Source organism: Homo sapiens, chromosome 2, assembly GCF_000001405.40.
Source record: "Homo sapiens chromosome 2, GRCh38.p14 Primary Assembly".
NCBI classification, from domain to species: Eukaryota; Metazoa; Chordata; class Mammalia; order Primates; family Hominidae; genus Homo; species Homo sapiens.
This window is the reverse complement of record NC_000002.12, coordinates 211,388,323-211,406,378: the sequence shown is the minus strand read 5'-3', so window position 1 is coordinate 211,406,378 and position 18,056 is coordinate 211,388,323. Positions and strand designations below refer to the sequence as shown.

Genomic DNA, 18,056 nt, shown 5'->3' with positions numbered 1-18,056 from the left:
ATGATTAATTCAGGCAAGTAGCAGAAGCATTTATTCATTCAATAATTGATCCATTCATCAAACATTTATTTAGGTATCTACTATATATCTGAACTAATGGTTTCCCACTAGAGCCATATGCAGTTGTGCCCTCTTATTTGTGGAAGAAATTTATGAATAAGTAACTAGCCAATAAAATGCAATGAGAAAGTGTTATAATAGGGACAAAGAGAATACGTTAAGGGATCATTTGAGCAAATAAGGGTTTTTAAGCAGGGGCATGGCAAAGTCAGACCTGGCTTCTAGTAAGAAAATTCTGGTAGCTTTTTAATATGTGAATTAAAACAAAGAGAGATTTGATTATTTCTTGAGTCACAGGACATGAGTGGAAAGTTTGATGGAAGTGATGGTTTTGAGATAGAAACAACAGGATTTGGGTATCAGTTGGATGTTGCAGAGTGGGAAGGAGAGAAGTCTAGGGTGACTAGGAAGACGTTAACGTTACTATTAATACATGAAAACAGAGGAGTAGATTAAGGAGATGTAATTAATATTTTAAAACATAAGTAGATATAGTCATTAGATAGGAATGTGTGTCTAGAGCTCGAGTGAAGTTAACTCATAATTTGGAAACCATTATTATTCTTGATTCATGACATCTTACTATCCTTTTTGAGAGAAATTTTGGTAGAATGTAGAACTAGTGAAGAGCCGAATAAAATTGATTGAGGAGTTAAAGGCAGGAAATGTGAATTTCTCTGAAAAACTCATCTATGTGAAAGGAAGAAAGGACGCAGAATGTGAATTCAGAAAGGAAGATGAGTCAGAGGAAGTTTTCTAGAATAATGGGCATCCAAATATTAGAGACGAGTGAGCCAGTGAAATCACAGAGATTATGGAAGATAATAGGGGATAGGTGGAGAAAACTCTGGGAGGAGTTAGGGGAAGGTATGTCCAACACATTTGTAGAAAAGTTTATCTTAGGCAAGAAGAAGTACATTTGGCATGATAAAATTTAAGAATGAGATTTTTAACCCATGTGTCAGATGGAAGTTTCTCTGTCCCTTGAGCATTAGATACAATTTTATTGAACCTGAAATTCACGAACGGAAGACATTCGAATTGCTTCCTCATATTTTCTTTTAATTCACTGAGGATAAAGTGCTGATTGAGGCAATTTAGTGATATGGCAACATAGCATATCACGGAATCTGAGGTCTGACTTCCTGTACTTAACTAGTTCTGTAAACTTGGCCACTTACTTAACCTCTTGGTTTATTCTACTCTAAAATGATGATAAGAATAATATCTACCACAGGTATATATGAGGATGTAGTGCAGCAATATAGGTAAAGCACTTCAAACTAACAACTCATTAACTGTTAGCTCTTCTCTTTTTTAAGTTCCAATTTCCTAATTTCCACATTTTATTAATTCTCACCACTTCCTTGATTTCCACAAATCAGTCTCTTCTCTCATTTCTCCAACAACAAAAATAACTCACATCCAGATTTCATGAATTTGGCAGATTAGATTGAAAACAGAACTGGTGGACTAGGTTGAAGGGGTCACTTCATAGAAAGTACAGTCACCTACTGTTTAATCCTCTTCTCTCTCTGCCTTTTTCAGCTGTTTCCTCCCAGACTGATCTGGAGCTCCAAAATTTCCTTTCTCGATTTTGTTGTATAATTTTCCTTCTCATCTGAAGCCTTGGTACTCAACTCTCAGTTGACTCACCAACTACACAAACAAACACTTAACCAAGATTAAAAAAAAATGTTTTAACAAAGTTAAAAAAAAGTGTTTTAACAAAGTTAGTTGTCTGTCAAGAGACAATTCAGTCCAGTTGTAATAACAAGTAGTAAATTTTCTATTTTATTATAATTTAGAGGTTAAATTGAGGGACATTGAGGTACTTCCAACCTATAGACATTTAGATTCTGTTCTCTCTATTATATTGAGAGCAGGCTGTTGACAGAGAGGGAGAAGAGCAGGGCTGTGTTAGGAAGCTTAGAGACTGGCTAAGGCTTAAGAAAAATGCCACAGTAAGGCATACAAACAAAGACAAATGAGGGGATAGTAAATCTAAGGATCACCAAAGGCGTAGAAAACTTGGCTTTTTTGAGGCACCATTCTGCTTGAATGCATGACTGTTCAGTAGCACTGATGGAACCGGCAGCAAGGGAGAGGGAACAAAAGAGATAAATCAAGAGTTGAGCTCCGGTAGGGCAGTTGCAAAAATAACGCTGAAGCTGAAGGCACTAAAGGTTACATTGAGGATCAGTGATGTAAGGATAAAGGATAATGGGGTATAAGTAACTTATTTCTTTTTCTCTTATCTATGTACCTAATTATACATAATTACGTAAATACTAACGTTGTATATCTGCTGTCAACTGAGTATGCTAGGTTCTTGACATAACATTCCCATAAAATGTAATACTAAGGAAAAGGAAGGAGCATTCTTTCCTCATGTTAGGCAAAGGAAACTGGGACTTAGAGAGGTTGAGAAGCTTGTAAAATAGCTTTGGTAAGTGCCAAAGTATTCAAAACCATACCTGGCTTACTTCAAAGCCCATGCTGGAAAAATAAAGTGCCAAGGGATTAATTGAGGAGCAGAAAAAAATAAAAGGCAGAAGAACCGATTGAGTCAGAGAAAGGAAATCAATGCACAGAAAGAATAAGAGATTGTGGTCAGAGAAAGGGATTCTTAAAGAATTGGCATTGAGAGCTTTTCACAGTGATGTCAAAATGTATACGCAGCTATATGGTAGTTAAAGCAGCTATATGGTAGTTAAAGTGCAGTGGAGATAAGACTGTAGGCAAGGAGGAGGCTCCAGAATTATAATACTTAGGTATTTAGTGGGGTCCATGGTGAAAGGTTTTGGGACCAAGCCAGGCATAATTGCAATCTCAGTGATACCAATGAGCATGAACACTCTGAGTGCTGGACAATGCCTCCAAAGACTGTAGATTATAGTCACAAAGATAAGAACCTGTGGTATAATTGTTTAGCATGAGTCTTCAAAAGAAGAAGGGCTTGAATGAATTTTGAAGAGCTAGTATCTGGAATCTTACAGCATATTAACCTTGGCTCTGAGGCCTGAGTTGAATCATGGAATAGACATTCTCCATTAGATGAAATATTCCAAGAAAGCAAGAAAGGATGTGCAGAGTGGCATCTCATGAAAGCCAGATTTTTGGTAAATAATAAACTGTAGGGAACATTTTCAGAAACAGCGAGGTTGGAAAAGGGGCAGTCCAGGTTTTGTGGAGCCAGACACTAATAATTGAGAGTAGAGGTGGAGCCTCTTTGAGAAAGAGAACACAAAAATGAAAATTTTACTTTTGCAAATTTTATAAAACCCCCAAATCATGTGAATCTATGACTTGGGTTCTTCATCAGGCCTATAACTGAAGAGTCTAAAGCTTAAACTTCATTGCTTCAAGGTAAATCCACCTTTGGGTCAAAGAGGTTAGAAAATATGTAGGAGGAACGGCTGTCAGGAATTAACTACTAGTTTCAAATAGCATGTTAGTGAAAGCCGCTTTGGGGACTTCTGGTGTTTAGAACATCAAGATGGATGGGGTGGTCTCTGAAAGTTTAATATAATAACTATTTATTGTACCTCCTCTTTTCTAGGGGAGGATGGTCCAGCACATTTTAAAACTTTATTGCAGGCTGATAAACGTTTTATTGAATGTTCACTTGTCTATACGCTTAGGATGAGCTTGCTGCTTGTTTTTGCTCTCTTCTCTTGACCAGAATTTCCAAGCAGGAGAATATGAAGGCATTTCAAAGCAAATAATTCACAGGCTGAGCTTGTGTCAAACTCTCTTGGAAATATATTCTCCTCCTGCATAATTTACCTTCAATATGCCTTCATATTGGCAATGAACCAAATACAAATCCTAGAATTGCTGCCAGGGTGCTAGTATTACTTTTAATTACTTTCACCTGAGCTTTTGGTCACTTTTCAGTAAGAATTTAAAAGATCAGTCCTAAGAATGATCAAAATGTTCTCTTCTCATTTATCGTTTTTTGCAAGGATAACTAGATCTAAATTTTCTTCACCAGAATTGAAGCTACTACATAACTTTTTACTACTTGGATAAGTAAATTTAGGAGAAATAAGAGAGGCAGGATACTAATGTAACCGGTTGGTTATCTACTTAAGGAGCTTGTTACCCTAAAAGACAACACTGATGAATTAGATAGGGTTTCTAAAAGTCTGGGATATATTTATACATGATAAAAACAGTAGTGGTTCCTAAGAGAGCTTGGGATGCCTAATATTTAAGACTCATGACCAGAAAGATAAGCATTCTCTTCTTTGTGAATATGTTCATAAGACCATGTATTAATATTTCCTTTCATTGGATCATAGCTGCACCCTGGCTTAATAATTTTCTTTAGATATGATAAATTATAATTGTGCTAGTAATATATAATATATTATTATATTATAATTGTGACATAGTGGCCCAGAAAATATAAAAGAGGTTTTTCTTACCTTTCTAGTACTTTTTTGTTTGTTTGCTATTTATTGGTAGAAGAGCTAGGGTAAAGGATATGTGAAAAAGTTTAATCTATTTTATTTTTCCCAACTCCAGATCACTTAAATTACTTTAAGATTGCCAATCTAAGCACTTTTCTGTAACCTGGCTGCTTTCTTTCCAAGGTGCATCTTTCTTAAGCATGTTTATTTGTTTTTAAAATCTACAAAAGGCTTCAGATCTCAATTTATTAAAGAGGTGATATATAGGAATGATGTCTCCACCAAACAGGGCATGAGAGTTCAAATATTTCCTACATGACTACATGCCTCTCTTAGTGTGTCAACTTTCTCTACAAAGGCCAGCAATCACAGGGAAGGAAAAATTCAATTGAAGCATACATTCAGCACGGAGGACTTCTCCTTGGCCTGTTGACAATGCCTCATCATGAATTCTGAGATATATCTTATTAGGACTCTGCCTGGATGCTTTCAAGTGTTCAGTAGAAGTGATTAAAAAAAAAATCAATGCCAACCTATACTCTGTAAAAAATGTGAATTTCTAATGTTTGCGTTCCATTGACTTTCTCACCCTCATCATCTAAAGAAAGCAAAAATAATAAAGATTTTATTTCAGTTATCATAATCTCTACTGTTAGATCATTCAGTTCATTTATTTTAGTTGCTTAAGGATTTTATTACTGGATATTTCATGTACACCTTTCTGTGGCTAAGTGGTGAGGGCTCTGAGAGTTCTAAGGAGCCTTTCTTTGAATTACTGCTGCACTGAAAAAAAGCATAGCAGTTTTAATTTTCAAAGGAATGCTTTAAAATCATTTTAAATGATGTGTTAATTAATAGACATTTAAATGAAACTTGCACATTATTTCTCATTATTTTACTTATGTCAGTGACAGCAATCATTTTGACAATTGTTTCAAATTTGGTTTAAACTTTTTAAAAATTTTTAAATATTTAATTTTTGTGGGTACATAGTAGGTATATATTTTGGGTGTATGGGAGATATTTTGATACAGGCATACAATGTTTAATAATCACATCAGGGTAAATAGGGTTTCCATCATCTCAAACATTTGTCCTTTGTGTTACAAGCAATCCAGTTATATGTTTTTATTTATTTTAAAATATACAGCTAAATTACTATTGACTATAGTCACTCTGTTGTGTTATCAAATACTAGATCTTATTTACTCTATTTTTTTTTTGTACCCATTAACCATCCCCACTTCCTCTTACTCTCCCCTTGACTACCATTCCCAGCCTCTGGTAACCATCCTTCTACTCTCTATCTCCATAATTTCAATTGTGTTAATTTTTAGCTCCCACAGATATGTGAGAACATGCAAAGTTTGTCTTCTGTGCCTGGCTTATTTTACTTCAAATAAAATTTGTGATACAAAGTTTGCAAAATAACCTCTACCCTCACACAGATAATCATGTCACTGTGCAAATACTTTTATTGTGGTATATAAAAAGTGTATGCTTATTTGGAAGGCAGCATTTAGTTGATTTTGTGTGAGGGATACTTGGAAAATTCAGTATTCAGCTGTATTTTCTTTATGTCACTGGAGAAAAAAGCCTGTTGCACATTTATCTACTATGTTATTCTATTCAAAGATATTTAACATCATAAACACGAGCTTATAAAGCTTATAAAGCACCCAACACAGGCATTATTATCCCCATTTTACAGATGAGAACCCTAAGCTTAGAGAACACTTTTTTAAGGCAGCGGGGCTGTTGGATGACCGTCCTTTTCTCTTATCAAGAGCTCTTCTCCAGCAGCTACTTCCCTTCTCAGAGACTCATACTCTGTAATTTTGATTTAGAATTTCATTGACTTATAAGTTTGATTTTCTGTAGCATTTAGCCATGATTATCCTTAAAATACTTTTTGAAAATTTTAAAATGGTCCTTCCTTATGTGTTTGTTCTGTGCACCACAGTGTGGAAATGCAGTTAGGTGATATGTACCACTTGTAGAGAAAGGATACATTTTGCATCTGCCTACAGTTGGTTTATCTACAAGGTCTGTCTTATTGTTCTTAGTTAACAAGTTGTATTTTTCAGGGATACAGCTAAACCCTGGTTCTCTAGGTCTCCAAAGCAATAGGAAATACCTAGGTGTCTTAGGGGAATGTTGTCATACTAGTGATAGAATCTTGAAGTTTTATAGCTGAATGTGAAATGTTCATCGCATTCAGAATCACTCACCCATTTGTAAGAATACTTTTAAAAATACTTTTAAAAAACTTTGCCATTAGAATTAAGATTTCCAACAATGGCTTCAGAAATAGTAACTGATATTGACAGGAAGAGTGTACTAGATGAGATATAATAGTCAGATAATTGCATCTGAGTTCAATTCCACCCAAGCCATCTGCAGAAGAAGATGTGTACCATATATAATATCAGGGATGCTAAAATTCCACATCTTTTAAAACTTATCCAACTGGCTTGATGGAGTCACTGAGATTTTTCATCAATAGAGCCACTCTTTGGGTTTAAGACATTTTTTAATCTCTCCTTTGATTCAATATATCTTTGCTGAACATTCACCATGTCTGTGCCCCTGGCACTGTGCTAGATATGAAAAATTTAATAGTAAATTAGAGTGAATCCATTTCTAAACAGACTCATAGTCTAAGAAAAAAGACACACTGATGAAATAAACAGAATACAGTTGTTAAATTATTCACATGGGGCATATAATGGGTTCTTTCATAAATACTTTTTGAATCAATAATTAAATATAATGAAGCTACTGACAATTTTTCATAAGATCACGATGTAATCAAGGCAAAGAAGCCAGAAAGAGCATTGAGGAAGTAATTAGAACTTGGACAGAGGTCGGAGGTGAGAGAGGAAAGGGCTCATCAAGCAAATCTGAGATTTATTTGACTGAAGGCTTATGAGGAAAGAGCAAAGAAAGAGGTGAAGCTGGAGAAACTGGCAAGGATCATAGTTACCAAAGCCTCCAATGCCACAAATAATGGACTTCATTTAGCCTGAGGGCAACAGTAGGTCTTGCAGTTTTGTTTTGTTTTGTTTCTGAGCCAGAGTCTTACTCTGTCGCCCAGGCTGGAGTGCAGTGGCGCAATCTCGGCTTACTGCAACCTCCCCTTCTTGGGTTCAAGCAATTCTCCTGCTTCAGCCTCCCAAGTAACTGGGATTACAGGCATATGCCATCACATCTGGCTTATTTTTGTATTTTTAGTAGAGATGGGGTTTCACCATCTGGTCTTGAACTCCTGACCTTGTGATCTGCCCGCCTCGGCCTCCCAAAGTGCTGGGATTACAGTCATGAGCCACCTTGCCTAGAGGTCTTGCAATTTTTAAAGCAGGGGAAGGAAGTATGAGTATTAGATTGGAGTGAAGGGAAAGAATGAGATCAAGGAGAACAGCTAGAAGGTTGTTACAGTACTCTAGTCAAGAAATGGTACCATAATTAAGATTTTCATAAGTGCCTGTTTTCCTTAGTGCATCCTAGTTTACTTCTGTATCAGAAGCATAATTATTAATAACACTTTCTTTTACTCTCTAAGTATCCCAGTGGGAGTGACAAAGTTTTTGGCACCTTAACCACAACTGAAATAGTGGCCATGAGGATGAAGAGAATGGTTAGATTCTGGGGGTATTAAGAGGTTTGAAAGGGTAGACCTTGGATGCTTAGCTATAAGGAGTGGGGTAGAGGAGACATGAAAGATAACACTAAGATATTTGACTTGCACAGCTGGATAAGTTATTGATATTATTCACCAAGCAAAGAAAGACAAGCAGGCCAGGGAGAGAAGAAGATGGCCATTTCACTTTAAGAAATGTGATGTTTGAAATGCTGTGAAACAGATCAGTGTAGATTATCAGGGCAGCTGTTAGTTATATGGGTATGACGTGGTATTCTGTAGTTCAGTGTTCCCTGAAGTAATTCCATCATAATCTACTAACACCAATTTGACCAATTTGAGAAGATTTTACGAATGAATTCATCAGACTAAATAGATGCCCTCTGGCCTGGCTAAAGGCATGTTTCTGGGCAGAAAATAAAAGTATAGATAATTGAGGATGTTTTTGGAGTGTGAGTTGCTGATCAAGAATTGTACACCTGGAATGGGAGGACAATACAGTCCTATTTTCCACGGAGCCGGGGCAGAAATAAATGGGCCCAGAAATAATTCTGTTAGGAATAAAGAATCACGGGCCTGAAACTGCAAAATCAACCTTAGTGGGGAAACACTGAGATCAGATTTTGCCTGCTTTAGAGTTTCACCTCGGCTGTCCTTGGCTCAGGTGGACAATCTAAGGATCCTCAGCCGATAGATGTTTTTCTAATTAGGCCTGTTAGTAACTAGCTGTATCATCCTGAAGAAAGTCATTTACCGTCTCTATGGGTCATCTGTGGTACCAATGGCAGATTTAAATGAGATTCTCTAGTTTTAGTTCCATTTCATTTTTTGCTTCATTTTTTTAGTAAAGTGTTACAATTTTAGAAATTAAAAGAAAATTATTATGGCCATGATTCTGGCTAATCTGGGTTGACTTTGGCAGCAACCGTGTAAATGGAAAACTAAGAAGTATTGGCCATTTTTTTATTTTAGAAAATTCCAAAATGGTTCACAAATAGATGCAGGAATGCTTTGTATGTTTTTCCTCTTCCTTTTTATATGCAGCAAAATCAGATTTGGGGGCTTTTCAATAATGGCAAAAGCTGCTTAGACTATGGTCAACAGGTAGCTCTCGGGGAGGGCTATTTTCTCTTGGGGTGTTGCCTTCAATCTGATATTCTTTTTGGCCTAGATCAGTTGTAAATACCAGCCTGTTTCTGTCAAATGTAACTAGTGTTTGCTCTGGGCTGATGGGACAGTCATGTGCTGTTTGTTCTGTCAGTAGCTGTACCAGAGTATTCACAGTACATTATTCAGATCAGCTCACAGGAACCAGCTGTCCTAATTCCAGGTGGACTGTTAGAAATCTTTTTACTTACGGCAACAGCTGTGCCACCTGGTAGCTTAAAGAGCAGTAGTTGGATGAATAAACCATTGTTACAAATTCACTTTTTATCTGGTAAACAGTTTGCATAAACTAGCATAACTGAAGATATTTTCAACCTGGTCCACACTGCAATTATAGGAACACTGAAGGGCTTTATCTGTATTACGTTAAATTGTTTGCTTGTTGCCAACACCTATCACTTAAAACACTGAATAAAATCTACGTGCCAAAATAAGGTTTATAACATTTGCAGTTCTATTTCCTATATTATTTGTTCTCCATCCTCCAATACACAAACCGTGCGCTTCATATTTTTTACATTCTCACACATAGATTGCTCTAAATACTATTATTGAAATGTTGAATATATAATAAAGCATCCTGAGCTTGGGTTATTACTAAAGAGAAGATTGAATATTTCACTGTTGCCTTATTATTTGCCAGTAAATAACTCTAAACTCTAAATAGAGTAACAAATATTTCTAAGTAGAACTCTTATACATGGTTTTTTTTTAGTGAACATCACTCATTTGTTGATAAACAATATCTGCATGTGAAACATAAGAAAAACAAAACAAAAGCTGCCCCACAAATGAGTTAACAGCCTCTAAAATATGATGTGTTTGATTGTATGGGTTACATAACCTTTGTTATCTTGTTTTAAGCTATTAATTTTCTTAGCATGTATATTAATACATATACATGTGTATGCACATATATATATCTAACATATGTATCCACACATACACAGAGCCTAAAATTGAGATTTAAGTCTTCGCTGATAGTACAAAAGGAACTATATCTAGGCAAAGACATTACATTTCAAATTCTAAAGTTATGGCATTCAAATTCAAAGTGTTTATAGTCTTTTTTTTTTTCTTATTCTTAGTTCAAACCTGCCTTATAGATTACTTATTTTTAACAATTATTTTAATCCCTAAACAGTATCTTATTGCATAGACAGATCTGGAGATAAATGCTGTGAAGGTAAAAGTATATCAAGTAGCAGATATAAATATTATGAAGGTAAAAGTATATCAACTGACAATAAGCATGTATGTGTATATCGATTTTTAATAACTGGCTTTTATAGGTAGAGTGTTTAGATAACATATCTCTTCTCTGTGAAGGGCAACCTGTTTTGTAGACAAAGTACCATTTTAATAAATACTACTTTTAACTAATATGTTAATTAATATGTGTATGGCCATATTAATTATCCCATTTGTCTAATAAACGTCTTATAGCCTATTCAATAACAAAAGTTAATATCTGTCTTAAAATTAAAGTGTCACTAAATTTACTTTGCGTATATTAATATGTATTTCAGCTTAGAACAAATGTTTTGGTTAAGGCCAATGCTTTCAGCTATATTTAAAAAATAAATAGGTTTGTTTCTGAAAAACATAAAAAATGCAACCTCTAAAGGATGCTTATTATTATTTATTAAAAGTTAATTTGAGGTTCTAAGGTATAACAGATTGTACATTGGATGGGAACTCAGGGAATCTTGTTGCTAGTACCGTCACTACTTTTGTTACCTTGGAAAATTAACCTCTCAGAGTGTCAGAGTCTCTATCTGTAAAATAAACATTTTAAATCATAAAACTTTATTTCAAAAAATTGTATTTTCATGAGTCATCATCCAAATGTGGTTCAGCCTCATCAAAACATACAATCATATACTGCATGTAGCCTAAGTGATACTTTGAACAAGATAGTCCACTTTAAAAAGGAAAGAAAAAGCGATGAGTCGACTTTGAAAAGATTTATGAGAGAAAACTTTATAAGATACTTTGCTTTAATGTTAATCACATTTTACAATATTTAATAACTAATCGTGTGGGCTTGAGGCAGAAAATTTATTTTACACGTAAATCCTTTGGTAGTTGGAAGTGATCTTTTCTATTACTTGTCCTATACCCCTATTCTTCTTTTTAGGATTAAATAAACTAAAAGACCAAGAAACTAAGGAATTTGTTAAAAGTCATGTGACTTAGTGAGACCTATTCAAGAATACAATCCTGGAGGTAGAAGGATTTCATGAGACCATTTGTTCTAGGTCTGTGGGGTTTTTGTCTTCAAAAAAGTTGCCCGATCCAGTGCATTGTTTGCATCCTGAAAAATCTTCATCAGATATTCTTTATGAGGTTAGGATAAAAACCACACAAGCAGAGACAACTTCACGATTCATTTGAAGAATCAGTTAGGCTACTCCAGAATTTACACATCGAAAAGGCTTGATGATTTCATTTCTGTTCTTAAAGACATTGCATTAGAACTAGATGTTCTTAAGCATACATTAAAAAAGAAAGAAAGAAAAAGAGCCTACCCTCTCTAACTGAAAAGAATTACTGAGAAGTCTTTGAGAAACTCCTAGAAGTTTTCCTCTTTAGGTTTCTGGCTATATGCATTAGCTAGTAGCTAAGTGATCATGAGGAAAAGGTTCAATTATGACAACATGCTAATGGAAATGAATATAAACATGCCAAAAAAGAGAAAGTTGCTAGAACCAACCAAACAATACAAAAATGCAGAACTTGCACCAGGGTAAAGAGATCAATTCTGTGTGATCACTCATCTCAAGAAGGGTGACACAATTCTTGTTGCTTATCTTGAATGAAGCTAAGCAATGTTGGCATTAGTGGAAAATTGTATTTCTTTATGCCCTTTCTTTTTTGACTGTGCTAATAACATTCTTTGATTCCATCACATACTATTGCTCAAAGCAGCAACTTAAAGCAGGAACCTGTAAAGTGAGGGAGATTTTCAGTTTCATTTTATTGACTCATTTAGCCATGAATATTTTAAAAGGAAATATCCTCTTGTTCTACTGATATTTGGAAAGGGCATAGGAATTGCTGCCCGGGGATACAATAGCTTACTTACCCTCAGTCAAGCAGGAAGAAGAATTTATTGACTAAGCCTTGTACTAGGAACAATAAATCCATAAGCAAGAGTGCTGTCATGAAAAATCTTTGTGCTCTCCAGTTATTTAAAATTGTCTCCTCCTGCTTCAGGGCTGGCTTTGCTCTTGGTGAGGTAGGTAAATGTATATATACACAACATGATTTTAGATAAAAAGGACTTGTAGGAAAGAATGGAAAAATACACACACACACACACACACACACACACACACACACACACACACGCTATTAACTCTTAATACTCAAAGTTTCCTTCTTTCCAGTTTATGTCCTTGTAACTAATTTAAGTGAAAATAAGTGGGGTGGAGCAGTAATGTAACACATTATCAGCATTTTATACTTAAGATAATGAGTTTCAGATGCCTCCTTAAGTCATTAAGTTCTTTTCACTAAAACTAGAGAAAGAAACTGTAAGAATTTGTTTGAGAAAATAGTTGAGGCATAACGCAAAGGAAGAGACAGGGCAAAGATGAGTAAGAATAGAAATGCTAAAGTCAAAATCTATGTGTGGTATAATGTTAAGGTCATAGAGTGACGGGCTATGTGGTCAGATAGCCAACTATGGATGTGTGCACATGGCAGATCCTTTAATTTCTCTGCTCCACAATTTTTTTGTCTATAAAATGGGAGTTATAATTTTTAATAATGCTATTTACCTTACAAGTTTATAAGAATAAATAAAACCTAAAATAGTCCATGGTATAGGGTAGGTACATAATATATATTAGTTTCTCTTTCTATTTCTTAATTTCCCTAAGAGTTATCATGTATTCATCTATGAAACACAATAAAAGTAGACTTTGAGGACTGACTTAAGAAAAGCAGGATTATTAAGCATTATAAAAGACAGCATTTCCATATGCTTTGTAAATTCTGTCTTGACTCTTGTTCATATTTACAGATACCACTCATAGTTTCCATTTGTTCAATTTTTTAATTAAATGAGTACATGAGACATATATGAAAGATGAAAGGTTCCAAGATTAATGAGTGGATAAAGAATGAGAGCCAGCCGGGCGCGGTGGCTCACGTCTGTAATCCCAGCACTTTGGGAGGCCGAGGCAGGTGGATCATGAGGTCAGGAGTTCAAGACCAGCCTGGCCAAGATAGTGAAACCCTGTCTCTAAAAATTAGCCAGGCGTGGTGGTGGGCACCTGCAATCCCAGCTACTCGGGAGGCTGAGGCAGAGAATTGCTTGAACCCGGGAGGCAGAGACTGCAGTGAGCCGAGATCACGCCACTGCACTCCAGCCTGGGCAACAGAGCAAGACTCCATCTCGAAAAACAAACAAACAAACAACAACAAAAAAGAATAAGAGCCCAAGTCAATATTTCTTCAACTGGATCATAGAGTCATTATTGGGGTGTGTGTGTGTGTGTGTGTGTGTGTGTGTGTGTGTGTGTGTGGAGTAAGAGAGTTTTTTCAAAAAAGTAGAGTCCCACAGAATCAAACCAAATAGAAAAATGACTAAATAAATAAATATATGTATACATAAATAGACAAAAGACATTATGTGTCATATATATAAAATTCAGCCAGCAGCTGAAATCTCAGTAGGCTTTTCCCAGCCATTATTGGGTTTGGCACATATGGACACATTCTGTTTGTTTCCTTCTGATTGCCCTGTGAAAAATGAAGGTCCTAAATCTAAACGTCTCAAAACACTGGTATGTTGAACTCAGTTGTGAGAAAGATGCAGAGTTACAACCATGCATCAGGAATTATAATTTATAATGCAATAATTATAACATAATGCAATAAACATTTTCTGTATGTTGCTATGTGACCTGTGAAAGTGTGGAGATGCTCATCAGAGTGTTAAGCAGATATGTCAGGGAGGATAAAAGGTTGAGAACCTTTAATAGTTACTATGTGGAAGTGTCTGGATAATAAATTAGTGCTGATGGATTAGCAACGTCTTACAGAGACATTTTATTTTAGTCAAAGGAATTTGGAGTATTTCTTGAACCTAGAAATTGTAATCTTATAATTACTATTGAAAGTAATAATTATTTAAAGATTAGAAAGTGACTCTCATTGATCACCTGTTTAATTTAGATAGAAGCTAGGCATTAGGCCTGTATTTTTGTTTCCTCCGAAAGTAGATTTGTATAATAATTTTTAAAAATATCACAAGATACAGTCCATCTATTTAATAAATAAAATTTCTCAGGAACAATATTAAATAATACAAATATAAGAAATACTGTGCATATGAGACAAAGGTTCTAATATTTATCATTCAACTAAAAAGTAAATTTTAGAACATGATGTATTTAAAAGTGCATTTAATACCGTATTTGATTCATTTACTGATACTTGCCTTCTCTTTAATCTCTGGCATTTAAGTCCAAGTTAATCATACAATCTCCCAGCGATATGGCCACAGAATTAAACTCATTCCATCCATCACCCTTACAAACCCCCCCACCAGGAACAAACTCAGTATCACCTGCCAGTTCCTAACCCGCCTCTTTCTATCTCTGCCCTGCTGACAGTAAATCGCCTCACCAGCTAATTGAACAGATGCACCCAGTGCTGCTTCCTAAAGATCTGCAAAGCTGGACTTTGATGGACAGCAGAAAGTAGCACAATGGAAAAACAAAAGCTTTTAACTGAGAGCATTGCTTTGTTCTGCTTCGAACTTTAAGGTCACTCCAGCTCATTTTGACTGCTGTGAGGATCTTAATTTTTACTCAACCAATTTACTTGCAGCTGTCATTCTTTCCAATATTAAAAGTTCAGCTCTTCAAGTGTGGGGAATTGAGGGAGAGAGAAATGAGAAGAGCTGGTTTCAAACTAAAAACAGCAAAAACAAGTAAAATCTGGCTTGGCTCTCAAGTACAAAAAGTTATTTTCAAAGCTTATAAATTATGACATCGTGATTAACATGTAATTTAAATATATTTAAACAACAATTATATCACATTTCCAGCCCAGCTAATTGGCCTCACAGATGTTCCCTTGGAGCTGCATTGCCCTTCCACGGGGAAGTGAATGAGGTGCTTTTTATCATGGAAAACAGATAAAAAAGCAAACTGAAAAAATGGAAACAGAAACATAAAAAAAGCAGCCAGTAGCCCTAAAAACAATGAATGCTAAAGGGGTTTTGCTTAGCATTTTTTCCATTTTAATGCTGAAAACAGGAAAATTCATGAAGATGCTCCTATTACTGTGATGCTATTTGGCAGTTTGTCCAGATACAGAGTTGGCAGGTTGCTGACTGAAAGACTTGTCAAAGCAGGGACAGTGGATGCATTCTAATAGGGCATGGCCTCGCTTTATGTCTTGGAACAGACTAACCGCAAGAGTCCCAGTTGTTTTAATCCGTTGCCTTTACAATGGAAGCCATTCTAGCCCAGATAATGAATATAGATAATAAACTGTTCCCTGATGAAGAATGACTTGTAAGTTGTTCCTTTGATTGTTTACGTCTCAGGTTTTGTAAAATGCAAAATGTGCAATCAATACTCATTTCTCAGCTGTAATTCTAGTCAAACATTACCCAGTACAGCAACTTTTGCAAGGTAAGAGGTCAAAGGAGCACTAGTAATTATGAATATTTTGGAATACCTGGCATTCTAATATATAACCATAGACTTGAAATAAATTGCCTTGTTTCATTCTTGCCTTTTCTTCTAACAATCTTAGATTATAATTGATAGTGCAAATTCTCAAAGGACAGTGGCCATGTCTTTCTTAATATATGGTGGTATTGCTGGCATCTACCACAGTGCCTGTGCTTTCACTGTAGAGATTTAGTAAATATTTGTTAAATACTTGCCAAATAATTGGTGTTTAATGATGAGGGTAAGGCCAGTGTTTGTAATTTGGTAAAGTTCCACCAGGCAGTTCCATATTTCCTGTACTATCACTCTATATTACAAATCACTGGAGTATAAAAAATACTTTCCTCAAATTTTATGAACAAATGTACTGGATTTCAGGTATTTCTAAAATATAGTAAAACATGCCTATATTTAAGGTGATTAGAGAACAGGTGAGCATTTTAAAATGCCTCTGATGAGTAGCTTTGGCATCCTGATTGCTTTATTTTAAAAATTCAATTTAGTAGATATGAATATTTAAATGTGATTGATATATCCTTTACATTTTTATAATAGTGTAGAGTTTACAAAGTTCATTTATATACATTATCTTACTTCATATTTATTAATAATAAAATAGGGAGGCCAAGAATGAAAATGAGGGTCTGAGAGGTTTCATGATTCACCAAATTCACACCACTTATCATTGGAACTGGAGCCCAGGTCATTAAACGATCTGTCTGTTGCATAGTAGCACCTCCTATGTATTGCATATTAAATATATCTCTGACTTTCCATGCCATAATCTTTGAGGTGTTGTTAGTTATGTTACTAAAGAAGAAAATAGATAAATATTCTAATACCACCATAGTTGTAGGGAAAATTAAGATATAACCTCACTATAGGGGTTCAGACCATGTCCCTTGATTAGTCCAGCAGACTAAGTTAGTTAAGGGAGATTATATTATCCAGTTGTTATTGACTTACTTTAAACACTTAATCTCCATGGGACCATATTCTTCTTAGAATGCTTCATGAATCTAAATCATATGAACATTGACCTGGAATAATATTTATCTGTTTCATTTAAAAGATGTAAAGTATCTGTAATCCCAGCACTTTGAGAGGCCGAGGCAGGCGGATCACCAGGTCAGGAGATTGAGACTATCCTGGCTAACATGGTGAAACCCCGTCTCTACTAAAAATACAAAAAATTATCCAGGCGTGGTGGCAGGTGCCTGTAGTCCCAGCTACTCGGGAGGCTGAGGAAAGGGAATGGCGTGAACCCGGGAGGCGGAGCTTGCAGTGAGCCGAGATTGCACCACTGCACTCCAGCCTGGGTGACAGAGCGAGACTTCATCTCAAACAAACAAACAAACAAACAAACAAGATGTAAGGTATCTTAGAGGTTTATTTTAGTCATCTCTGTTTACTTAAAGCTGGATCGCAGAGAATATAAGCTTCATAAAATCAAGCGATTTGGGTCTGTGTTTTGCATTATCCCTGTGCCTAGAAAAGTGCCTGGCACATAGACAGTAGGTTCTCAAAAAATGTGTTTAATGTATTTTTGTATTAAGAAACAGAATTAGTATTATACAACTCCTTTTCCTTACCCTAAGGAACACTGTCCTTCATCTTTTATTAGATTTTTATATCCTCTTTCAGTTAGCCCATAGGATGGAGCGTTAAGCTATAAAAATACAGATGTATTTTTGTTGTTGTTTCTTTAACTGAAATCTGATTTTGACTCATTATAAATACCATAAGGGGAATCTAAAGCATGTTTTCAGGAAAGGAATTGATTTTCCAAATTTTCTGCTCTTTCTTAACTTAAAAAAAAAAAACAAAAAAAATGTGAGACTGAAGATAAAATAGCATATACCTTTTAATCAGGAGAGACTAAGGAGTTTACCTTTTGCTGAAGTGGTGAAAAATAAATGTAGCTTGATAGCAAAAATTAGTCCAGGCAAATCGAAATCTCCTGCCATCTCCTTCCAGAAACATTTATTCTAAGAGAAAAAATAACAGCAGACAATATGGCCATTTCAATCTTTTGACATGTAAAGAAGGAAACTGTTTCCCATTTACAGCTAT

The 18,056-nt window shown here is 35.4% G+C and overlaps 1 protein-coding gene across 11 annotated transcripts in view, besides 1 other annotated feature; it reads left to right on the top strand.

Annotated features, from left to right (window-relative positions):
- Nucleotides 1-18,056, top strand: part of ERBB4 (erb-b2 receptor tyrosine kinase 4) — a 1,163,086-nt gene that overhangs the window by 1,132,424 nt on the left and 12,606 nt on the right. The window lies entirely within an intron of this gene.
- Nucleotides 13,946-16,264: an enhancer, noted in NCBI's record as "VISTA enhancer hs1578". NCBI's record gives its function as "enhancer in: hindbrain (rhombencephalon)[4/5] | midbrain (mesencephalon)[4/5] | forebrain[4/5]" and the evidence as "EXISTENCE:transgenic organism evidence [ECO:0001131][PMID:17130149]".